This window comes from Homo sapiens, chromosome 13 (assembly GCF_000001405.40).
Source record: "Homo sapiens chromosome 13, GRCh38.p14 Primary Assembly".
Taxonomy (NCBI): domain Eukaryota; kingdom Metazoa; phylum Chordata; class Mammalia; order Primates; family Hominidae; genus Homo; species Homo sapiens.
This window is the reverse complement of record NC_000013.11, coordinates 23,657,760-23,683,923: the sequence shown is the minus strand read 5'-3', so window position 1 is coordinate 23,683,923 and position 26,164 is coordinate 23,657,760. Positions and strand designations below refer to the sequence as shown.

Genomic DNA, 26,164 nt, shown 5'->3' with positions numbered 1-26,164 from the left:
TTCTACTTTCCTTACACAACTTACATGTAAAACTGTTTTTTCAGTAGTTTCAAATACATGTCACACTGTTAACTCTTAGCAACTTTTTCTTTTGGTGAAAACTTTGGTAAGTTTGGGATTTTAATGATGTACTAGGTGTGGAGCCTAGCCCAGGACACACCAGGCAGAAGTGCAGATAAGGATTGACTCTTTCCAGCATAGCTGGGGGGCCTGGCTAACACCACATGTCCCCAGGCCTTAACTGGAATATAATGCTCCAAAGCAGGTAAATTGAACAGTTTTCAAAAGCCAAAAAAACAGTTTATGACCTTAAAGCATTTAGTAAACTTAATATCTGACCTGCGTAATTTACACCAAATGTTTACATTATTGAAGATATTTTTATTTTACCAATAATCTTTAAAACTCTTTATTTCCCAAAGATTAAGTCACATGAACTAAATAAAAGGCATTACATTTTTTACTTTTCTCACAAAATATTCTATTTAAGCTCTTATTATTACTAAACCAATTAATCAAAGTTCTTTGAGATATAAACATCACACACACAACATATATAAATACATAGAAGATAAAGGACTTATTACCTAAGCCAGGAATTGAACTCTGAACTTGGGCTGCCATTGGGAAAAGAGAAAGCCCATTCACGTGGTTACAAGGTCAAGCTCCCAAGGACATGACTGACCAGTTTGCTGGGCTGTCTTGAAAAGCAGGCTTACAGGTGTCCTAAGCCTTGTTCTATCCTAAGGTACACCTCTCCATGACAGAACAACACAGAAAGACCCACGAAGCACATCGATTTTGCTACAGCTTACGACTAGCCTCACAAATCCTTTTTCTCATTAATCAAAACTTTATGGGAGATAAACGGTGATTTTTACCATTCATTCAACCAGTTTGCACAGAGAGAGGAAAGGCAAGGGAGAAAAGCACTGCTTGTGGCAGGGTGGGGAAGGGGAGGCACTCAGTGAGGCCAGAGAAAGACCCACCCATGCAACAACCCTGAAAAGTTCAAGTGGTTGCTTGTCAATAGCAAAGGGATCTTTTACAGGAGTTCCATCAGCTCTCAAGTTTCCCCTTTTTGGGGAGGAAAAAGCTCCCCATGTCCCATGATACTGTACATGCTTAACCCTTTCACCCATAGCCATCAGCAAAGAGTGAAAGGTGATTAATCCAAAGAGAATAGAGGTTAACATCCCATAGTGCCAAACCCATTCTTAGCCAACAGGGATTTTACTGAGAAGGGTTTTATGGAATGGGGCCTCTAACCCTCCTAAGTTGGCTCTAATCCAAGGTCGGTCAAGCATCCTTGCCTTTTATTAAGAGAGGCCTCTAACCCACTCTGTCTTAGGAGAGACTCTAACTCTCCTAAGTTGGACCTCTAACCCAATTCCATTCTTTTCCCAAGTACCCCACCACTTACCCAAAGTTGTCTAATCAGTTCTGCAGTCTATTTCCTTTGGATGGGGGGGGTTTCCTCAGTATCATCCCTTACGTGGTTCATCAGAAGGATGTTATTGGACCCCACCACTTATCCAAAGTTAGCTGTTGGGTCGGTGGGGGGTTCCGCACTATAGTTGCTTCTGTGGTAGCCAGAAAGATGTTACAAGGAAAGGGGTACCAATCCAGACCCCAGAGAGAGTTCTTGGATCTCGAGCAAGAAAGAATTCAGGGTGAGTCTGTAGAATAAAGTGAACGCAAGTGTATTAGGAAAATAAAGGAATAAAAGAATGGCTACTCCATAGACAGTACCCCTGAGGGCTGCTGGTTGCCTATGTTCATGGTTATGTCTTAAAGATATGCTAAACAAGGAGTGGATTATTCATGTCCTCTCCTTTTAGACCATGTAGGGTAACTCCTGATCTTGCCATGGCATTTGTAAACTGTTATGGCGCTAATAGGAGTGTAGCAGTGAGGATGACCAGAGGTCACTCTCATCACCATCTTGGTTTTGGTGGGTTTTGGCCAGCTTCTTTACAGCAACCGTTTTATCATCAAGGTCTTTATGACCTGTATATCTTGTGCCAACCTCCTATCTCATCCTGTGACTTAGAATGGCTTAACCATCTGGGAATGCAGCCCAGTAGGTCTCAGCCTCATTTTACCCAGCTCCTATTTAAGATGGATTTGCTCTGGTTCACATACCTCTGACAACAGGGGCATCTGTGACCTCTGCTTTTCCTAAAGGGGGCTTTGTGAACTTCAGTATTTAAAGGGGAAAGAGCAAGCAGGAGGGGGGAAAAGGGAAGAGGTGAGGCAGTGAAACCAATGCTTACATCTTGTGCAGCTCTGTCTAGCTTTAGTAAATCTACATTTCACATGTGAAAAGATGGAGTAGAGGAGAATGTCAGCTATGCATTACCTCGAGCACAGTAAATCTGCATTCTACGGATGATAAAGCAAGCTTGTGAAAAGAGGGAGCAGAGAGAATGAGGCTGTGAAGCCAGGTTGTGAAATTACAGCTGTTTAGGAAAACATTATCAGTGACTCAGTTCCCAAGCTTAACTTTCCCTTCAGCATAGTGAGTTTGGGTCCTGGGATTCTACTTTTCTTTCACACAACACTACAGTCACGAGGGAGCTGTTGCCTTTTAGTTCTAGGCCTTTAGAGAGCACCAAGTGTGCATTCTCTCACATCTGATCATCGGATCTGGGGATTCTTGCATTTTCCGGGTGGCTTCTCCCTCAATTTTATGCTTGGGCTTCGCCTCTAGTAGGCCTATTTATTAACCTAGTTGCCTCTCAGTGCATTTATGTGTGGTTAAAATATCCAAACAGCTCTCAGATGCAGCCAGAAGCTTTCTGTCACTTCAATAATGCCAGGATGCTGGGGAGCAGCCGGAGTAGTCTGGGAGACAGGAGGGCAAGGGTAACTCCTCCTGAGCTACAGAAGGCAATGATGCAGAACCAGCTGCAGGCAGGCTGCACGGGCTTTGCTGTCCTCCCCAAGCCAGGGGCCAGCCTTCTGGCCCCATGAGTTTCCCGTGGGGAGGCTGCTCAGCCATGTGAGGGCAGGGAACAAAAGCAGCAGCATCTCCACGACAAGGGTAGGGTGCAGACAGACACCATCAGGCTAGAGCTAGCTAGCTTTCAGGTGAAGGCGACTGGCTAAGATTTAGAAATGGATGCACAAAGCTAAGATTTACAAATGGATGTGCCAACACTCATTGCCCTGAAGGCTGGCCCCGATCTGGTGGTAGGGTTGCCTGGAGCTCCAGGCTGGGCAGGACCATGAGAGTGCATCCCAGGCCCAGGATAAAAAGGCCACGAAGGTGCTTGATGCAATCCACAGGCACAGGAAGGCCATGGCCGCTTGAGCGCAGTGCACTAGCCTTTTCAGCCTTGTATTCTCAGGACTCCAGTGGAGCGTTGGTTTGATGTCAGCAGGTGGTTCTGCTGAGTCCTAAACTTGCACCTGAAGCTCAGCACTGCCCTGCTGGAAATCAGGACCAGACCAACATGACCTAGATGTTGCGGAACGAGCTCAGGCTCAGTATTTCCAAACAGGAGAGAGACTATCCATCTTCACTTCTGGCAGGGGGCTGGTCCCTCCCAGTGATTGGGGATTTTCTGCTGCTGGAGAGAGGTCCACTCACCTCCCTCTGGAACTCCGAAGCTTCTGGAAGACTATTTTGGTTTTTATGTCTGTCACCCCTTCACATAGAGGTAAGTCGGTCCCCCATGGGGGAAGCTCGAGCCCCAGGGCAGGGCCCATTGGATGCCTGTTGGCCTAGAAATCTGCCCTGAGCCACCTCACCCGTGTCCTCGTGCTCCAGCCTCCCTGCACTTCTCCCACTCCCAGCACAGGCTGAGCCTTTCCACCTGCAGTTCTAGCATTTTCCACCCCTCCACTTGCCTGGTGAATACCACATGAGTCTTCATGGCCCAGTGCAGAGGACTTTCCCTCCCAGCTTCTGTGCCCCCTCCTCACTGTCCCCAGAAGGATTTGCACTTGTATTTTTACAATTAAGAGCTATTTTATTAGGGACAGGTTCTTGCTCTGCTGCCCAGGCTGGAGTACAATGGCTCTAACACAGCTCACTGCAGCCTCAAACTCCTGGGCTCAAGGATCCTCCTGCCTGGTCCTCCTGAGTAGCTAGGACTACAGGCATGCACCACCACACTGGCTAATTTTTTCTTTTCTTTTTTTGTAGAGATGGAGTCCCAGATTGTTGTCCAGGCTGATCCCAAACTCTTGTCCTCACATAATCCTCTTGCATCAGCCTTGCAAGGTGCTGGGATTAGAGGCGTGAGCCACCATGCTGGCCCAGGTCTACTTTATAAACACTTAAAAGGCTTGCTTTCCTTATATTTCTTCATATCTTCTCTGGCCCTGGCACTGTAGTTAGAACCAAGCACATGCTCTATGCTATATAAATGTATGTTGAGTGCATACATTAAGGACTGCCACAGGAAATGCATCTTACTAGAGTGAGTCTTCTGAGAGGAATTGGACCTGTGTTTAGAACTTCAAGGGAAATGATTCATCTCTGATCTGTGGAGGGGTAGCATGCCTTGCGGTGGCGCAGCCTGCCTCCCTAACCTGCTATTAAAAGATTGCTGGCAGAATGGTCTGCAGATCTTCTATTTACTGTAAATAATCAACCCAGGTAAGGAAAATCCCTCTACATAGTTCTGCTAGTTAAATTCCACCCCAAACAAAGCTACCAGAACACAGCTATTTCAGTCTTAAGTAGGAATAGCTAATGCCATTAGAAATTATGGAAAAAAGAATCCTCTCTCTTTATAGAACAAAAAATGAAACCTGCTTCAGAAGACCACCCATGGTTCTAGAGAAAGTGGTTTTGCTGATAACTTTTAAAAATTCAAGTCTTCTGGAGAGGTGAATTTCAAGCAGCCATAGATCACACTAATTCAAACGCCACTGGCCATTCATGACATGACCTACCCTTGGCCAGCTGACTCTCTGGAGTAGAAACCTTTCAACCCTCCGTTGGTTGAAGTGTGACATAACTAATGCTAGTGTGAACTGCTGCCTTGACTCAGCATAATTATATCCCTATAATTGCATACCAGGACTTACTGAAACTTGTTTGACATTATAGACAATTTTGAAACCTCTCAGACCACTGTTCACTTTCAAGACTGAATGATAAACTTAAGCTCTATTTACAGACCTTAGTCGGTGCCAAATTTGTTTTTAAAAAATGTAATTCCAGCAATTTGGGATTCCAGCAATCCGAAGTGGGCGGATCATTTGAGGTCAGGAGTTTGAGACTAGCCTGGCCAACATGGTGAAACCCCGTTTATACAAAAAAAAAAAAAAAAAAACCCCACAAAAATTAGCCGGGTGTGGTGGCATGTGCCTGTAATCCCAGCTATGCAGGAAGCTGAGGCAGGAGAATTGTGTGAACCTGGGAGGTGCACTCCAGTCTGGGTGACAGAGCAAGACTGTCTCAAAAAAATTAATTAATTAAATTAAATTTTAAAAAAAGAAATCAGACAATACCTTCTTAGTTTAAAATGGGACACATTCAGAATAAGTACCCAGTTGCAGAGACCTTAATAATAGTGGTAATAATGAAAATATGTCATTGTTATTACTGAGGGGTGACAGTGTGCTGGCAGCCCTTGCTCGCTCTCAGCGCCTCCTCAACCTCTGCGCCAAGTCTGGCCACCCTTGAGGAGCCCTTCAGCCTGCTGCTGTACTATGGGAGCCCCTCTCTGGGCTGGCAGAGGTCGGAGCCGGCTCCCTCTGCTTGCAGGGAGGTGTGGAGGGAGAGGTGTGGGCGGGAACAGGGGTTGTGCCCAGCACTTGTGGGCCAGTACGCGTTCTGGGTGGGCGTGGGCTTTGTGGGCCACACACTCGGAGCCGGCCCGCCGGCCTGAGCAGTGAGGGGCTTTGCACCAGGGCCAGCAGCTGCAGAGGGTGTGCCAGGTACCCCAGCCGGCGCTGTGCTCGAATTCTCGCAGGGCCTCAGCTGCCTCCCCGTGGGGCAGGGCTCAGGACCTGCAGCCCACCATACCTAAGCCTCCCCACAAGTGGACTCCTGTGCTGCGGGAGCCTCCCCTAGGAGCCCCGCCCCCTGCTCCATGGCGCCCAGTCCCATCCACCGCCCAAGGGCTGAGGAGTGCGGGTGCATGGCGTGGGACTGGCGCCTGCAGCCCCCGTGCGAGATCCATTAGGTGAAGCCAGCTGGGCTCCTGAGTCTGGTGGGGACTTGGAGAATCTTTATGTCTAGCTAAGGGATTGTAAATACACCAATCAGCACTCTGTGTCTAGCTCATGGTTTGTAAACACACCAATCAGCACCCTGTGTCTATTCAAGGTTTGTAAATGCACCAATCAGCACCCTGTGTCTAGCTAATCTGGTGGGGACTTGGAGAATCTTTATGTCTAGCTAGGGGACTGCAAATAAGACAACAATCAGCACCCAGTCAAAACGGACCAATCAGCTCTCTGTAAAATGGACCAATCAGCAGGGTGTGGGTGGGGCCAGATAAGGGAATAAAAGCAGGCTGCCCAAGCCAGCAGTGGCAACCTGCTCGGGTCCCCTTCCATGCTGTGGAAGTTTTGTTCTTTAGCTCTTTGCAATAAATCTTGCTGCTACTCTCTCTTTGGGCTCGCACTGCCTTTATGAGTGTAACACTCACTGGGAAGGTCTGCAGCTTCACTCCTGAGGCCAGTGAGACCACGAACCCACCGGGAGGAATGAACAACTCCAGACAGGAGGAACGAACAACTCCAGAGTGCCGCCTTAAGAGCTGTAACACCGTGAAGGTCAGCAGCTTCACTCCTGAAGCCAGAGAGACCATGAACCCACTAGAAGGAAGAAACTCCGAACACGTCCGAACATCAGAAGGAACAAACTCTGGACACGCCATCCTTAAGAACTGTAACACTCACCGCGAGGATCCGTGGCTTCATTCTTGAAGTCAGTGAGACCAAGAACCCACCAATTCCAGACACATTACTATAAAATAGTCCAGACCTCCTGGGAGAACCTTATTAGCTTTGAGTTATTTTTGTCAGAGAGTTGATGGATTTATGGTACCTATAAGCTAAACCAGTCTCCATGGACACCAGGAAAGTCCACATGCTCTGGGGGGGTTGGGGTGTGAGTGGGGGTGTCAGAGGGGGAAGAAGTCAATGTCCTTCCCTCAGAGAATCCAGTGTCAACAGCAGAAACTCACCTGCTGAGAAAGCAGGATGTAACTGTAACATTTTTTAAAGTTTTTTTTTTCCAGAAAGTTTAAAGTCCTCTCTCAAAATCTAATAATAGCCTTAAAAGCTTTACTGAGTAGAGGGAAGAAAAGGATTGCTGATCTGTGGAAGCCTCCACCTTCCTCTCTTTAGTCCTCCTCTGCAGGAGGACACCTGGCTGAGCTCCATCAAGGATACAAAACTTTCTCTTTAGTTCCTTCCCTCTTTGTGCCATAAAAGGGAAAAAATGAAGAGATCATGATAAGACCTTGATGCCAAAGCTTCTCAGGGGCCGCAGAGCACCTTCCACTAGCCCAATGCGCCTGGTTCTGTTCCCAGGCTATCCCTCACAGGTCACCAGTGAGGATTACAAATAGCCCTCCAAAAGCCTGAGGAGGCAGAGAGGGTTCCATCCCTCTCTGGAGCACATTTTTTAGTGACACAGCCTCATTATGTTGTCCAGGCTGGCCTCAAACTCCTAGGCACGCCTCAAACTCCTAGGCTCATGATCCTTCTGCCTCAGCCTCCTAGTATCTGGGACCACAGGCAGGAGCCGCTGCCTGTGCCGAGAGAGCAGAACTCTGCAAAACCCTCACACAGACTTCTGAAAAGAAAAAAACATGTCTGCATCCACAAAATCAGTCATTCTCTCACTGAACACATAAATAAGAATACCAGGTGATAATTTTATTCACAAATAAAAAAGGTATTACAAAACTAAGAAAATGATAATTTACACATTTATAAATTCCAGTATGCAAAATAGTAATGATGAAATCTAAATTGATATAAGCTACTATAAAGCAATGATGGTTTTCCTTTCTTTTTCTTACTAGCACAGACAATAGTGCTTAACCTAGGTAATAGCAATATTAACACATTATCTAAAGTAGAAAAATCTCTATTTAAAAATATATTCCATATACACAAAATTAGAAAATTCATGACTTTACTTGGTTGCTCTTGAAATCCTCCTCAGTCTTGTCAACGAGCTTCTGCAGCACAAGAAGCCACAGTGGTTATGCCCATTCAGCCACACGCATTACCCGACACAGCCCTCCTGACATCGGCACTCTAGCAGCTGAGTTTATTGAGTGCTATGGGATATTCCAACAAAGTGAAGTGCAAATTGCATTTTTTTCCTCAAATGTTTCCAAGGAGTGTAAAATATAACATTGTTGTATATTTCTAGAGTAGGTAGGGTAAAATGTCTTCATCTTGATAAAAGTTACCCAGGATTTACCAAATTCAGTAGCAAATGAAATCAATTTTCAACCCTAAGCACTTCTCTACTGATTGAAAATGATGTTTTGGGATTTTTGGCCAAAGTCTCATTCCCATCAGTCTGGCTTTCTCCAGCCAGTGTTTGTCCTTGAAGTTAATCAGGGCTCTACATATGGAAAATATATACAGGCTACACAAAGGAACACAGCCCTGCCTACTTTCATCATCTCTCTGTCATAACAGAAATGCAAACATCATCTCTCTGTCATAACAGAAATGCAAACAGACCAGATTTCAAACAGTGGCACGTATGTGAATCATGGTGAGGTCACGCGAGGAAACTACTTGCATTTTCATAGCCATTGTGTGGTCAAATCCTAAATATTTTACATGTCCAAAAGGCAATGTTCCTAAGAGTTCTTGACTACCAAAGGATCATTGGTTTATACTTAAAAAAAGAAGTAATACAGGAAAAGTCAATTAATTATGACTAGGCACTAGGTTGACATGACCGCTTGGGGCTACAATGAAACATTCTCATTTCCTATTTCAGGTGAGGGAATTGAGGTCATGAGATGTACCAGACACAGGCAAGCTAGTAAACACATATCAAAACCTAAAACTATGGAGAAACGGCCACAAGAAAGAGGGCTCATTAAATTTTACTAATCTGTCACAAACAGAGAAAACCATGGATAATACATGAGAAGATAAAAACATACTAGGAAAGACAGATACATTTTAATATTCAGTTTAAAAGTTAAAAGACAGTGACTTGGGCAGGGCAATTCCAAACCAAAATATCATAGTACCCTCGAACATACTGATGTTCAGAAGTCTAAAAAATATGCCCTGTTCAAGTAGGTCTTCTCCAGGGCATAAAGATTAAGAGTAAATGAACCATTCCCTGCTTTGTGACTGAACGGGGTTAATTTCTGTCTTAGCTCTAGAGACAATGCTAATGTGTAGATGGTAGGGGATGGAGCACTTTAATAGAAAGAAGCACCGTCCTCTTAAATCCAACACCGGATGGCTAAAGTAGGAGATGATGTGCTAACTAATCTTACACAATTGGAAGGAGCACGACAATGTCCTGGTCAAACTACACTAGGGCAGTTACAGCTGCTTCATCCAAACCCCTACAAATTGTGCATTTTCTTCTAGTCCTAACATGTGGTGTGTTCTCACGGAAGGCTACTTCAGTAGTAGGGGAACCTGATATGTTGTAATTTCTAAAGCCTTTAGTATAAGATACAATGCAAGTAAAAGGTCATTTATGTTTATAAATACCCTTTTTCTATAACCTTCTAAGCTCAGGCAGAGGGACAGATGCAACAAATGTTTCTATAGCAACTAATTTTCATATAAATATGCCAACCTTTGCATACAAGTCTCTACAATATGTGTTAATTCTGGGCAATGGGCTGCCCTTTCTCGACCACATTCCCTAGCCCAGGTGTTCTCCTGAGATCAGCGGGTGTTCATGAGACCGAGGCTGAGGTCAGAAGTGTGGATTCTGGAAAGAGCTATCCTCCTCTGTCTGATTCCTCTGATTCAGTAAACTTCATCTAATAAACCCAAGATTTAGGCAGGCAATATGAGGGCCATTCTAACCACCTATGCGAATCAGTTTAGATGATGAAAAAGTGTCCTTCTCAAATAGAAACACTCACTTTTGAACCCATTCTACATAAAAGCTAAGGTAATTTATCTGATATTTCATAGGCGGTATGAAATTATTTCTGGAAAGAAAAAGTATACTCTGGGTCTTCAGTCTTGTAAAACCACAATCACCATGAAAATAAGCATGAGGGCATTTCTGTTTCTTGTTATATGTCCACAATCTCATAGGCTGCCAGCTCAACCCATCCGTCTTTGAAGTCACTTTTGTGGCAGAGAAGCTTCTCATGTAGGAAAGATGCAGAGTATCATGAGTCGGCCTGGAGTCTTTTCTTGTTATTCATTGAGGTTTCAGCTTACAGCTGGTCTGGCTCAGAAGCAACTGGCTGAAAGGCTTCAAATGCCGTCAGTTTGGTTCAGATTTATTTTTGCCCCAGAAGCCATGCAAGGTCCAGACTGCTCAGTCCATAAGCCTAACAAAGGAGTACTCTTTGGGTTCCAGCACACGCTTCTACTGCAGAAAGAAGCAGGTTCTTTAAGCTTCCTAAAACAGCAACAGAAAGGAAGCTTTAGAAATAATGTCTTACAAGTTAAATCTGCTAAATTTCAATGGTAAAGAATTATTATGCATAACTTTTACTAGTAGTATACATGGATATAATAATAGCATATGGACAAGAAACTCATTCAATAGTATCCAAATATCCAGCTACCCATGTAATCTCAGGATAAAATAAATATTTTCATAACAATTCGTAGTCACCCAATAACTGCAGAGTACTTAAAAGATGATACCGTAACCCATAGCAATCATAATGTATTAACAACAATTCTTTTGTGGGCTTTCAACCTTATTCAAACATTTAAAGCTTCTTTCTTCTATACTGTGTTCCTTTAAAGCATTTGTAGGTAAATATTTTAGGATTCTGTATTTCCTTTCTTTCAAAGAACAAAGATGAATGAATAGTACCATTCTTTATCTGCCAACTTAGTCTTTGAATGTACTTCCATTAAACTATTAGAGAATGTTCAGAAATAGTTGGGAATAAGATTTCTCTTATAACAATCTCCCTAGCATACTCACAGTCCTTATCGGGAGAATATCCTCAGCAAAGTGTAGCCATTAGACGTGTCCTCATCACAAAGGGCACTGACGTCAATGCCGGGAAGGGGACAAGTGAAACCACTGAACATTAATTTCATGTATTAACCCTTCACTAACTTACCACTAATTTGGCATTGGTGACATACCAGGTTAAGTGTATGCAAAAAAATTATTCCTAGGTCTAAGGAGATTATTTAGAAGTAAAATCTTATGAAACACTTCCAATAACAGGAGATAGTTTTATCAAATATGTTGATTAACTGACATGATTATAATAACTACATGAACCCTTCTGTGGGAGGCAAATTATCCTCATTTTGCCAATAAGGAAAAAGTAGACATTTCAATAGATTGAAACACTAGAACCCAGGGTCCTCTCATATGTTTTCTAACCTTCTTTCTGTCTGTTCCTGTTGACATTTTAAATGTTGCATTAAAAACAACTTCAAGATATGCTTTTCCTGTAGGTAAACAGGCTGGCTTTGTTCTCTCAAATATCTCAGCAAAAAATGTTCCAAATATCTCAGTTTTGTTCCCTTCTGGAGAGATGTGTATAGGAAAAACTTGATTAAAATTGAGTCATACAAACTAAAGAAGGCTCTCACACCTATTTGCTTTATCTGGAACCATAACTATCATCAGATTATGGGTCATCTTAAATCACCCACAAGAAAACTAGTGTGTGGAAATGCAGGTTGTGTAAACAAATGCATCATGCGCTGAAATCATGGCCTTACACCACGTAAAGACAGAAGTGCTGTTTGGCCACAGCTGCTCCTTTTCCACCTCCCAGATGGACACATGTTGTTTTCCTGAGCTATGAACGAGCCCACATCATGGAGCCAAGCTAATTGAACACAAACCTGTGGAATGGATAAAATTAACAAGAAGCCCTGTGCTTTGGTTCATAATAGTGAGCTGCTGAAATCAAATTATTTTATTTTATTTTTTAAGAGACAGGGTCTTGCTTTGTTGCCCAGGCTGGAGTGCAGCGGCGTGATCCTAGCTCACTGCAGCCTCAAGCCTCAAACTCCTGGGCTCAAGTCATCTTCCTGCCTCAGCCTAAAATCAAATTCTTTATGAGATGTGAATGTGTCCTCTAGTTGGAAAATTAGCCTGTTGGGGGAAATGTGGGTTGGAATTTAGATTGGGAAAGAAAAACAGAAGCAAAACTACTTGAGTTAAACACTTGGTTGGACCTTGAAATAAAGAGGAGGACCAGGCCCCCAAAGGCCTGAAGTAGCTTAAGGTTCATTTGCTACATTTCACAGATTAGTAAGTGCAACTAAAGTTTTTTTTTTTTCCAGCATCTGGAAATGATTATCTCGTAAAATGGGCTCAAAATATTATTCACTATTATAGGGGAAAAATCAAAATGGTTTATATTTTAACGCTTCCTTTTTTAAATTCAATGTCATACTTAGATTTACCTAAATTAATCTAACAATTATAGGGCTACACATCTTGAAAAGTTAGTAAAAACCTTTCATTAATAAATTATTATACTGTGCAACTTGAGTGTAATATTTTCTCATCAGGTTCAGTTTAGATATAATTGTAACTTTCTTTTCATAATGATTTGAGTTGAAAGTGTATATAAATCATGAGAACTACCTTGCATGTCTTTGAAAAAGAGTTAGTAAGTCATGATATGCCAATCTCATCAACTAAAACATGTTTCTAAAATATCATGTTCATACAGCTGTGATGACAGTGCTTATCAATCCTGTCCCCGCCACACCACCAACATACACAGAAAAAAAGCAGGCAATGAGTTGGCTCCGGGATGACCTCGTATGAAGACGTTTCATTCCTTAGTCTTGGCAATTGACATCACAAACTTGGGTACAAGCTACAAAATTAAGGTGAGTGGTAATTCTGTTTCCTGACAAAACTGAAAAACAGTCATTAGTCAGCTGGCAGCACCGTAACCCTAGTTCTTCAGATGATCTCCTAACAAGAGAGGCACGGATGATGCACTAGACATGGCGAGGGCCCCTCATTTAGTGCTGCTGGGAGGCAGCTGAGCCCTCTGTTGCTGAGCAGGGGGGTTCCGCCTGTTTCTAGCATCCTCTGATCCGTCAGTGGACGCTCTCTGCTTTGAAGGACTTGTTACCTGCTCTCGGCTGCTGGGGCCTCTCAGTTCCTACGTTGTGTGGGGCACAGTCCATTCTTGAGACTTACACTCAGCTAGGTTAATTCTTAAGTCTTTTCTTATTTATTATCATAACAATTTTACAAATTATGGATGGCTCAAAAGAACAAGATCAGTGAACAGCCTTTCCTAACTCCAGGCAGAGCTCAGAGGTAGATACTTTGTATGTGTTAACTGCCTAATTTGTTTTTCCTTCATTCACTCGTCTCCCTTCTCTTACTTCTCCATTCCCCCGTTTTGAGAATGAAACCAATTTTTTCCCTCCAAAGCTAAAAAATGTTTTGTCTATAGAATCCCCTAAAAGTTCTCCAGATAATTTTTTTTTGTACTTTAAAAAAGCAAACAAGGTGGGAAGATGGCTTGAGCCCAGGAGGACGAGGCTGCAGTGAGCTGTGATTGCTCCACTGAGCTCTGGCCTGGGCGACAGAGAGAGACCCCGTTTCAAAACCCAAAAACCAAAAACAAAAACAAGTACTGCAGACTTAGATCAGTATGTAACTTATGAACTGATCTTAAAAGGAACATATCAGCGTTCACACTTTGACTCTGCACTAAGTCTCTGATATAATCAGGCCAGGATACAGAATGACATGGAAGTGAGGCCCCTCTGGAGCAGGCTCAGCTGCCTCCTCAGCACCCACAACCCTGATCTGGGGCAGGGAGGGACAGGCAGTGAGAGCAGCAACCTCTTTGTGGGGCAGAGTCTTGTGGGCCTGGGAGCTGGACTGTTGCTGTGACTCTGCCCTTTTACACTCAAGGCTTGACACTTTTCTCCTAGAACTTAACACTAACAATACATGCACTCCCATTTAAGGAAATGTTTACAAACATTAGGTCAAATTCAGCAAAGGCCACATCCTCACCTGAAGAAAGCAGAGACGTGCCCAGTTATCCCTGAATCCTTTGCTGCCTCCAGCTTTGCAGCACGCAGAAAGCCCCCATCTCTCTGCAGGTGCCACCCTCGCTCCACCCAAACCTGATCTTAAACCATTCCACCTGAGAGGGTCTTATGACCTGGTCTCAGGTCACAACCAACAATCAATTTCCAGCCAAATCAATCAATCCGGTAAAGCAGAGTGATCCAGAAAACAACAGCCAAGGAGAGAGGAGGGAAAAGAGCAGCTTTAGGAGACCAAAATTCACATAAACTTGGCAGTGAATGAAGTAGATTTAAGTATTGGGCATAAGTAATATATATATAATAATAAGTATATATAACAGGAAGAAATGAAGGTCAGGAATTGTCTGCAAGATGCTCCCATACCCGACTCACCTCTCTCAACCAGGGAAGGAGGCAGCAGGTGCTGTGCTAAGTGGTTGTACTTACAAAGAGGAATAAAAGAATGCAGCTGTCCACTTTGCTCTTATATATTAGCTGTGTTAGTTTTTTAAAAAAATACTTGAAATTTATTTTAAAACATACTCTACAACATACAAGAAATTATTAAAGATGCAAAAAAAAAACTCATCAGGTTCCCCCAAATCTTATGCTGGGAACAGAGTTCTGATCTACTGTAAGTCAGTGCTGTGTTCACAGGGAACCCAGTCGCTGCCTTACCTGGAGGGACGTCTGAGTGGCTGGGTGGATGACAGCACCACTCTCCTGATCTAGCTGGCTTCTCATAGTTAGTGCATCCTGAGTTGATGCTGATTCTACCAGTGTGTTGTTATATCTAGATAAATCAGTAGCTGCTGTAAAGTTTTCAGAATGAGACTGGACTGGAACAGCCCCACCAACCAAATCTTGACTGCTATTTGAATCCAAAGACGTTGAGCTTTCAAGTTCTGGATTGAGAGAATGAATGTCTTCTCCAGTGAGTTCAGGATAAGAGTCACAAAAAGAGATGTTGTCACCACCCATGGGATTCTGCATCAGAGGCCAGGCATCTGAAAACTCGCCACAGATGGACTGCGTGAGGGATCCGAAGAAAGTCGGCACCATCTCCCCGGCTGGGCCTGCGTTTCTGCACACACGTTCAAAAGAACTTAAAGTTTTTGATGGGGAGAAAAACACTACTACAAAGAAGCATGTCAGCCGTAATTTTAGGTCTTCTAAATGAAATAGCAATTTACTGCATCAGAATTCTAGTGTTTCCTATTGTTATAAACTCATCTCAATACAATAAGTCAAATTACTCCATTTATTTGAAAACTGAGTTTTGACACCTCCTTCTAATTAATATAGTTATACTTAATCCAATGTCTAAAACATGCAGTTTCCTGGGTCTCATCTGAGTTTCTTGAGTGCTGTTCTAAAATTCTAAAATATTATTCCATGGGTAAAAATTACTTACATGTTAATTACTTACAGATGACAGAGGTGTCAAAAATCACAGACATAAGACAAAAATAAAATTAATGAAGAGTAAAGTGTAAAGAATGTTGCACTGGATATGAGTGACCTTGAGAGAGCTACCTAATTCTTCCCTGAGAACTGCACCCCACCAATATCCAGAATGTCATTAATATTTAAGAGGTGATGTTTCCATCATTTCAGATGAAAATCGGTAAATTAGTAGAATGCATATTTGCACAGGGGGTTATGAAATGATTGATTGAAAGCACCTAGTTACCTTGCCTGAAGACTGGCTGCAGAATGCACCCCACAACCAAGAGTCGCCGGGTTGGGGCTGCAGGCCTCCTCACAGCACATGGATGGGAGCAAGCGCACCGGCCCTAGGGAAGACAGCACAGGTGTGAAGCACAGTGCCTCCTTCTGGCAGCTTTCACTTTAATAACACTTCAACACTGCTCTCGGAAATTTAGATGTTTCCCTTTGGGTGACTTTTGGGGGAAAAGGAATACAAGGTTCTCTTTTTTTCTTATCTTAAACAAATGATGAGCCACTTATATAAGGTACCGAGAGTAGACAGACTCATACAGACAGATGAAGAAGGGGGGATGCTAGGGGGCTGGAGCAATGGGGAGACCAGGAGCTGCTGTTTAATGGAGACAGAGTTTCAGTTTGGGAGGATGAAAAATGTTCTGGAAGGTGAATGGTGGTGATGGCTGCACCACAGTGAGAATGTACTTAACGCCACTGAACTGCACACTTGAAAATGGTTAAGATGGTGAATTTTATCTTATGTGTATTTCACTACAATAATAAGCGGGGAAAAGGAATAAAGCAGTCTGTGGGAGACCACGAAGTGAGACTTCTTGGCCCCACTGAGGACAGGAGGAGCAGGACAACTTTCCCGCTGAGTGGCCTCCTAACACAGACGAGAGCATGAATGTTCGAACCCTCTAACTCCATATACACAGACACACCATTTCTTTTTATTGCTAGGAATGTCACTTAAGGAATAAGTAGATATGTGCACACAGCTTTACAAGCTGAATATATCACTGAAGCTGGATGTATTTTGTGCTACAAAGATAATATAAGCTTAAAAATCTAAAATATAGAGATTAGATAAGAAATTTAAAAATAAATCTTCTCAATCCTATAAGCTGAAAATAAACACTCAGCTTTTTGAACAGCCTTCTTGATTTCTCACTCTGTCTATACATACATATATATATATATATATATCACTCTGATTTATAGAACCACAAACACACTAAAGCACACACACACACACACAAAGACACACACATACACAAAGGAAGACTTGGAGAAATTATACATTTACATATATAGCTATTGGAGAAATTATACATCTACATATATAGCTATATGTTTGTGTGTATCCAAATTTTCCATGAGGAATATCTCTTTACTTTTATAAACAGGAAAAAAATTATGAAACTACAGTCTCTCTTTATAAAAATGAATGCCAAATATTGAGATGCAATTGCAAGCCCGTGAGAAACAGGATGACTGGCCTGCCTGCATCTAAGTCTCCCTCAAAGCAAGGCCTCCGTCCAGACCATCTAAACATACAGTGCTCTGACCCCGCTGAACTCGCCAGGGTTTACTGCCGCTTAACAAACGTGTGTCACGCTCACCATGAGACATTTCAAAATTGTTTTAAAGCAAAAGGCACTGCCATTCCTTATAGAAAGGCTGATTCTAGGGAAAGTACACGATAAACCTGGGACTTCTTTTGGTGGCAGAAAGTAAGAAAGTGCTAAAAGAATAATGCGGACATGTCAAAATGGCACATGAGCCAGCCTGAAGGGAGTTCCAAATGAAAGGCAACATGAGCATCAGAATAAATAGTGACACCAAAGGGCTGCAACCCACTGAATACAGTCCACGAGTCTAAACTAACTAAGGTATATAAATACATAAATGGAGAACGAAAGTTCCTCCTTACCATAGGAAGCCAACTAATAAATGTGGAAAGAATAACGGAATTAGAAAGCCAGCATTTGTTAACCATCATAGTAATGACTGATTCCAGTACAAATCATCAGAGCACGCTAAGCTACAGGGTGAAAGTTTGGGGTGTGACAGGATATTTACACAGCCTCCAAGTATCCCCTATAGGATATTTATTCATTACAAAGAGAACAGCGGACATTTTATACTGGAGAAACCTGGCAGACACCCCCTTAACGAAGTGACCAAGGTTACCCTGACCAGGCATAGGCCAGATGGACAACTCTGCCTCCTGATACAGTGCGCTGAGGACTCAGCATCCCCTCAGCAGTATTTCTGAATCTAATCCTGAGGAAGCATCAGACAAACCCAAATTAAGTGTCATTCTACAAAACTGTAGAATTTTGAAAAGTGCTGGCCTGTACTTTTCAAAAAAAATCAGTATCATGAGACACAAACATTAGGAGACAATTCCAGATTAAAAGAGACCAAACATATTTGACAACTCAATGCAACAGAAGTTTTCAGAATACTTTTTGCTACAAAAGACAATACTGGGGCAATTAAGAAAACACGAATACGCTCTGTAGATTATATAATGGCACTGAATTAACACGAATTTCCTGTTTTAATAATTATGCTGTTGTTATGTGAGAGAAAATGTTCTTGTTCTTAGGAAGCAAACATTGATGTACTAAGGGGTAGAGGGACATCATATTTGCAACTGAATTTAAAACAGAAAATGAAAAACAAGTATACACACACACGAGAGAGAGGGGATAAAGCAAATGTGAACATGGGTAACGTTAATATTTGGGGAATCTCGGTAAAGGACATGTGGGAATTCTTTGTTCTACACTTTCGATATTTCTGTAATTATGACTGATTTCTGAAATTATGTCAAAATAAAAAGTTAAAGGGAAAAAAGTATCTGCCATTAAGGAGGAAACATTTGAAATAAGCTGCACTGAACCAGTGCATTGGCATGGGGATCATTTCTGGCCCCAGTGTTCTGTTAGGAGGTCACACAACAAGGCCATCTGTATATTTAATCTTTCATTTCAGACTGAAGTAAGGTGAGGCAGAGTTTATACAAACTGCCTTTTATTACATTTAAAATTTAAAATTAGAGTTCATCTCTCCAGAAAGTATTCCTACTTACTCTGACTCTAGTAACAGTGTCCACGGTATTGTATCTAGGAAAATGTAATGCTTGGGGGTGTTTAAGGATCACACAGTTACCATTAATAGTGTCTAAGAGTCTTGTCTATATAGGCAAAGGCAAAACTAGATCCACACACCACAGAAAGTGTTGTATTTTATTCTTCACCCATTCCCAAAATAGGAGATAGTAATAATTAGCAGAAAAAGAATTAAAATGAAATCTTCTTATTCCATATAGCCATATGCTGCATAGCAATATTTTGTTCAATGATGGCCCAACTATACCATAGTGGTCCTGGAAGTTTATAATACCGTATTTTTACTGTACCTTTTCTATGTTTAGATCCACAAGTACTTATTTGTTGCAACTGTCTACAGTATTCAGTGCAGTCACATGCCGTACAGGTTTGTAGCCTAGGGCAATGGGCTACACCACATAGCCTAGCTCTGTAGTAGGCTATCCCATCTAGCTTTGTGTGCACTCTACAAGGTTTGCATAGAAGCAATGCATGGCTGTATATACAACATGAGACTGGAACACTTAACTGATAATTTCTTGAGAAGACTGATTAGACAGTTCCAAGAGGACAAGTCAATCTAATAGAATATGGTGAAAACAAATACAGATGGGTTATTAGACAAAATGGTGCTATTAGTTTTGCTTCCATGGGTGATAACAGAACTGTAAAGTAGTAAGAGGACGGGGGAACTGGGACAGACTTGTAGAGAGGGTGGTTGGCTATAGAGGGTTTTAATTTGCAGAGGAGGTAAGGTGGTAGGGTGGTGGGGGAGTGGGATGTGTAAGTGTAAAAACACGTGCTGAAGAATATAAATACATAGCAAAGAAAGTTGGTACTAAACACATGCTCAGACCACAGTGCAATAAAAATAGAAGTCAAGACTAAGAAAATCACTCAAAGCCATGCAATTACATGGAAATTAAACAACATACTCCTGAATGACTTTTGGGTAAATACTAAAATTAAGGTAGAAATCAAGTTCTTTGAAACTAATGAGAACAAAGATACAACATTCCAGAATCTCTGGGACACAACTAAGGCAGTGTTAAGAGGGAATTCATAGCACTAAACACCCAAATAAAAAAGTTAGAAAGATCTCAAATTAACAACCTAACATTACAACAGAAAGAATTTGAGAAGCAAGAACAAATTACCTCACCCCTAAAGCCAGCAGAAGACAAGAAATAACCAAAATCAGAGCTGAAATGAAGGAATTGAGACATGAAAAACCACCCAAAATATTAAAAAATCCAGGAGTTGTTTTTTTGAAGAAATAAATAATATAGGCCGCTAACTGGACTAATAAGAGAGAATATCCAAATAAACACAATTAAAAACTACAAAAGGGATGTTACCACTGACCCCACAGAAATAAAAATAGCCATCAGGAACTACTATAAACATCTCTATACACATGAACTAGAAAACCTAGAAGAGACAGATAAATTTCTGGACACATACACCCTCCCAAGACTGAACCAGGAAGAAATCGATTCCCTGAACAGAACGAAAATGAGCTCCAAAACTGAATCAGTAGTAAATAGCCTACCAACCAAAAAAAGCCAAGGACCAGATGGATTCACAGCCAAATTCTACCACATGACAAAGAAGAGCTGGTACCATTCCCACTGAAACTATTCCAAAAAAATGAGGGACTCCTTCCTAACTCATTCTATGAGGCCAGCATCATCCTGACACCCAAATTTGGCAGAGATACAACAAAAAAACAAAACTTCAGGCCAATATCCCTGATGAACACCAATGTAAAAATCCTCAACAAACTACTTGCAAACTGAATCCAGCAGCACATCAAAAAAGCTAATCCACCACGATCAAGCAGGCTTCATCCCTGGGATGCAAGGTTGGTTCAACATATAGACATCAATAAAGGCGATTCATCACATAAACAGAACTAAAGACAAAACCACATGATTATCTCAATAGATGCAGAAAAGGCTTTCAATAAAATTCAACATCCTTCATGTTAAAAACTCTCAATAAACTAGGTATTGAAGGAACATACCTCAGAATAATAAGAGCAATCTATGACAAACCCACAGCCAACATCATACTGACTGGGGAAAAGCTGGAAGCATTCCCCTTGAAAACTGGCACAAGGCAAGGATGCTCTCTCTCACCACTCCTATTCAACACAGTATGGGAAATCCTAGCCAGGGCAATCAGGCAAAAGAAAGAAACAAAGGGCATCTAAGCAGGAAGAGAGGGAGTCAAACTATCCCTGTTTGCAGATGACATGATTCTATATCTAGAAAACCCCACAGTCTCTGCCCAAAAGCTTCTTCAGCTGATAAACAACCTCAGCAAAGTTCCAGGATACAAAATCTACGTACAAAAATCATTAGTATTCTTCTACACCAACAACGGCCAAGCCAAGAGCCAAATCAGCAAGACAATCCCATTCACAATTGCCACAAAAAGAATAAAATACTTAAGAATACAGCTAACCACGGAGGTAAAAGAGAATTACAAAACACTGCTCAAACAAATCAGAGAAGACACAGACAAATGAAAAAACATCACATGCTCATGGATAGGAATAATCAATTTCATTAAAGTGGCCATACTGCCCAAACAAATGTACAGATTCAGAGCTATTACTATCAAACTACCAAAGACATTCTTCACAGAACTAGGAAAAACCTATTTTAAAATTCATATGGAACCAAAATAGACCCTGTATTAGCCAAGGCAATCCTAGTCAAAAAGAACAAAGCTGGAGGCATCATGTTAGCTGATTTCAAACTACGCTACAAGGCCACAGTAACCAAAACAGCATGGTACTAGTACAAAAACAGGCACATAGACCAATGGAGTAGAATAGAGATCCTAGAAATAAGACCACACATGTACAACTACCTGATCTTCAACAAAATTGACAAAAGCAATAGGGAGAGACTCCCTGTTCAATAAATCCTGGGATAACTGTCTAGCCATATGCCAAAGATTAAAACTGGACCCCTTCTTTACACCATATACAAAAATCAACTCAGATGGACTAAAGACTTACATGTAAAAACCAAAACTATAAAACCCTGGAAGAAAACCTAAGCAATACCATCCTGGACATAGGAATGGGCAAAGATTTCATGACAAAGACATCAAAAGCAATCACAACAAAAGCAAAAATTGACAAATGAGATCTAATTAAACTTAAGACCTTCTGCATAGCAAAAGAAACTATCATCAGAGTAAACAGACAACCTACAGAATGGGAGAAAATGTTTGCAAACTATGCATCTGATAAAGGTCTAATATACAGCATCTATAAGGAACTTAAATTTACAAGAGAAAAACAACCCCATCAAAAACTGGGCAAAGGACATGAACAGACACTTCTCAAAAGAAGACATACATGTGGCCAACAAGCATATGAAAAAAAGCTCAACAGCACTGATGATTAGAGAAATGCAAATGAAAACCACAAAGAGATACCATCTCACACCAGTCAGAATGACTATTATTAAAAAGTCAAAAAATAACATATGCTGGCAAGGTTGCAGAGTAAAGGGAATGCTTACACACTGTTGGTGGAAGTGTAAATTAGTTCAACCATTGTAGAAAGCAGTGTGGCAATTCCTCAAAGAGCTAAAAATAGAACTACCACCTGACTCAGCAATCCCATTACTGGGTTTATACCCAGAGGAATATAAATCACTCTACCATAAAGACACATGCACATGAATGTTCACTGCTGCACTATTCACAATAGCAAAGACATGGAATCAACCTAAATGCCTATCAATTACAGACTGGATAAAGAAAATGTGGCATATATACACCATGGAATACTATGCAGCCATAAAAAGGGATGAGATCGTGTCTTTTGTGGGAACATGGATGGAGCTGGAGGCCATTACCTCAGTAAACTAAGGCGGGAACAGAAAACCAAATACCACATGTTCTCACTTATAAGCAAGAGCTAAATGATGAGAACACATGAACACAAAGAAGGGAACAACACACAATGGGGTCTACTTGAGGGTGGAGTGTGGGAGGAGGGAGAGGAGCAGAAAAAGAAACTATTGGGTACTAGGCTTAAATAATTAAATAATCTGTAAAATAAACGTGTAACATCAGTTTACCTATATAACAAACCTGCACATGTACCCCCAAACCTAAAATAAAAGTTTTTAAAAAGTTGGTATTACCTTTGCCCCTATTTGCCCAAGTTAGAGACCAGTTTCCCTTTGAATTACTTTCCTAAACTTTCAATCTGTCAATAGTCCAAGGGGCAATTATGGTTTGTGTAAAACCTTGAAATGGACTTCTCAGCTCTCTCTTCTTTAAGAAATTCTAAAAATAGATATATTTTTATAATAGACATATTTTTAAAATAGGCATATTAGTGTTTGGTTTGAATCAACCAGACAGCAAAGGATATAAAGTCCTACTCTACCAAAGGTTACCGTGATTTTAAATAAACTGACTCAAAACAAGAAAGACAAACATGACCCAAAAGTTGCTGAAAAATTCTAGAATTTTAACGAGATGCTTATTTCCTTTTTAATGCTTAAGAGACTCGAAACACCCAAACCAACAGGAGATGGTGGAGAATAATTTAACAAGATTAGTTTTAACCAGAAGACTCAACACAGCCACCTCGCTGTGAGGTGAATAAACCAGGACCAATTCTTGCTGCTTCAGCTTCTGTGTACCTCCAGTCCTCCTAACGGCACTTCCCTGCTGAACTTACCGCAGGTCTGCACTGAGTCACGGCGGCACTGGCAGCAGGCTCTGTGGGCATATTCGTGGAGCTGAGGTCTGTCAAAACACGACAGCTCAGAGCCGTTGTACTGAATGTCCTGTGACCGCAGAGACCCTAAATGAGGGGTGAGAACTCTGTCAGGGAACACAGTCTCCTCTCTAGTGGACCTGTGCCATTCTAGCTTTTGTATTTTTAAAGAACAAATCAGCTATCCTTCCAATGTTTGATGACTTCTTCTTACATGGAAGCACAAACATGAAATAATTTGTTAAGAAAGTTCAAAATGTAGGGTACTAATGTTGCCATTACTGAGAATGATTTTTATTTTTGCCTAGTGGCGCAGGGACATCACAGCCTTGTAAGTCTCCTTACAAAGCTGTGCAACCTCAGTGAATTCTACAGATGACCCTTAAGCAACACGGGTTTGAACTGCGCAGGTCACTTATACACAGATTTTCTTCAGCCTCTGCCACGCTGAGACACCAAGGCCAACCCTCCTCCTCCTCCTCCTCAGCCCACTCAACATGAAGATGATGAGGATGAAGGCCTTTACAATGATCCGCTTCCACTTAATGAAGAGTAAATCTATTTTGTCTCCCTTATGATTCTCTTAGTAACATTTTCTTTTCTCTAGCTTACTTTAATGTAAGAATACAGGGCATAATACATATAATAGGCCGGTGCAGTGGCTCACATCTGTCATCTCAGCACTTTGGGAGGCCGAGGCAGGCGGATCACGAGGTCAGGAGTTCGAGACCAGCCTGGCCAACATGGTGAAACCCCGTTTCTACTAAAAATACAAAAATTATCCAGGCGTGGTGGCGGGCGCCTGTAGTCCCAGCTACTCCGGAGGCTGAGGCAGGAGAATCACTTGAATCCGGGAGGCAGAGGTTGCCATGAGCTGAAGTCACGCCACTGCCCTCCAGCCTGGGTGACAGAGCCAGACTCTGTCTCCAAAAAAACAAAAAAACAAAGAAACATATAATAAACAAGATGTATTAACCAACTGTTTATCAGTAAGGCTTCCCGTCAACAATAGGCTATTAGTAGTTAAGTTTTTGGGGAGTCAACACTGACGTGTGGATTCTTAACTGCTCTCCTAGCCCTCTGCTGTTCAGGGATCACCTGTGTTTCTTGTGCCCTGCGTTCTTTCACAACTCACTGGTGCTTGTCTCAGCCAAGTCTCTTGTGGAACACTTGCACGACAATAGTAATAAATGCCCTTCCCCTAAATGCTAAGAAATGTAATGAGCTCAAAACTTACAGCTGGGTTTCTTCTCCATAAACTGTCTCTTACAATAGATGACACAGAGGATGAGCAGGGCCAGCAGGACGGTGGCCAGAGCGCTGCAGATAACGGCAGCCAGCGCCGTGTCCCGTGGGCTGGAGGCCGTGGACGCGATCTTCACGAGGTTGACCTTGCTGGCACCTGAAACCACAGGAATGGGGTCAGCATGCTCTGAACAACTGCAGATGCAGTGTTTATGGCGAAGCTGGCAGGCACCCTTACCAGTGGCCTTCCCATGCTGTGAGAAAACTGGCATGAGATATTTAAAGATGGCTCAAGCACCCCCTCCACCCAGAAGATGTCTTTAATGGGACACCTTTACCCGGCACCCCACAATGTGCAGGGTGTCCCTCTCCTCTGTTCCCAGAGCGCTACGGACACACAATCCTCAACACATTGTGTTACTAGAATCTGCCTTCAGCTCCACCAGAGCAGAATTCTTTGTGAGCTGGGGGTCTGTCATCTTTACCTCTGGTTGCCCAGTACTTGGCATGTGGCAGGGAACTAATGTTTTGTACTTAATTGGAATTACACCATATTTTTAAGCAGACTGAATGCATGTATGCTTTTTGGGGCAACTTTAGGGGAAAACAAGGAGTTGGATCATCCAGAACCTTACAGTAGACCCCAGTTTTTGAGACAGTAAACATCTCTGAATGCCTTAGCTGTTAAACTACTGGAAAACATCTAAGTTTTGGAGAAAAGACTAATACTGTTATTACACTATGGAAAGGCCGGCATAGTCATGTGCTAAGAAAGTCAAGAAATAGATCTTATTTTAGAGGGCAGTACTGCTTTGTGGTTCAGGGCAGATTCTGAACCCCATGGCCTGGGTCAACCTCTACCTGTGTGACCTTGAGACACTGACTGGAATTTCAAGTTGCCATCTGTTCAAATGGAGGTAATAATAGTGACTGGCTCATGTGTTATGTAAAGTGTGTGGGACTGGCTGTGCTGTAGAATCATTAGCCACTGTAATGATGATGATAGTAATTACCATTTTAAAACTATCCTGAGGGTACCAGGATAAACAAACTCATTTAAATCAGAGATCTATATCTAGTGCAGTTAAACAGCATATCCTACTTAACTAACCCCAAAATAATGAGAGAAATGGATTTAAAAGGGGCATGAATCTACACAGAGGGGCAGTTACATTTTCTCTTTCCCAAGCAGATGCCCTGAGTGAGCTGAGGGGCCCTCACTCTGCTTCCCCGGCAGGTGCTGCTCACCACAGGAGCCTCCCCTCGACTGAAGATTACTCCAGGTAGAGGTATAATGTGTGCTTCACATGTCATTTCAGGTTGTCTAGGAACCACATTTAAAACGTAAAAGAGAGGCAAGGTGCGGTGGCTCATGCCTGTAATCCCAGCACTTTGGGAGGCTGAATTGAGAGGATCCCTTGAGCCTATGAAGCTGCAGTGAGCTGTG

General features: G+C 42.1%; 1 protein-coding gene across 10 annotated transcripts in view; it reads right to left on the bottom strand.

Annotated features, from left to right (window-relative positions):
- Window positions 1-7,830: 7,830 nt before the first annotated feature.
- Window positions 7,831-26,164, bottom strand: part of TNFRSF19 (TNF receptor superfamily member 19) — a 105,682-nt gene continuing 87,348 nt past the window's right edge. For 5 of the 10 annotated variants that reach the window (XM_047430440.1, NM_148957.4, NM_001204459.2 and 2 more), the window contains 5 exons: window positions 24,710-24,874; window positions 23,434-23,559; window positions 15,842-15,944; window positions 14,827-15,232; window positions 7,831-10,552 (listed from right to left, as the gene is read on the bottom strand). In XM_047430440.1, the coding sequence (XP_047286396.1) occupies window positions 10,544-10,552; window positions 14,827-15,232; window positions 15,842-15,944; window positions 23,434-23,559; window positions 24,710-24,874 (809 nt within the window). In that variant the 3' untranslated portion in view covers window positions 7,831-10,543. Of the gene's footprint in view, window positions 10,553-14,652; window positions 15,233-15,841; window positions 15,945-23,433; window positions 23,560-24,709; window positions 24,875-26,164 lie in introns of those variants that run through there. The other 5 variants (XM_047430442.1, XM_005266446.3, XM_047430443.1 and 2 more) reach the window with 2 other exon arrangements.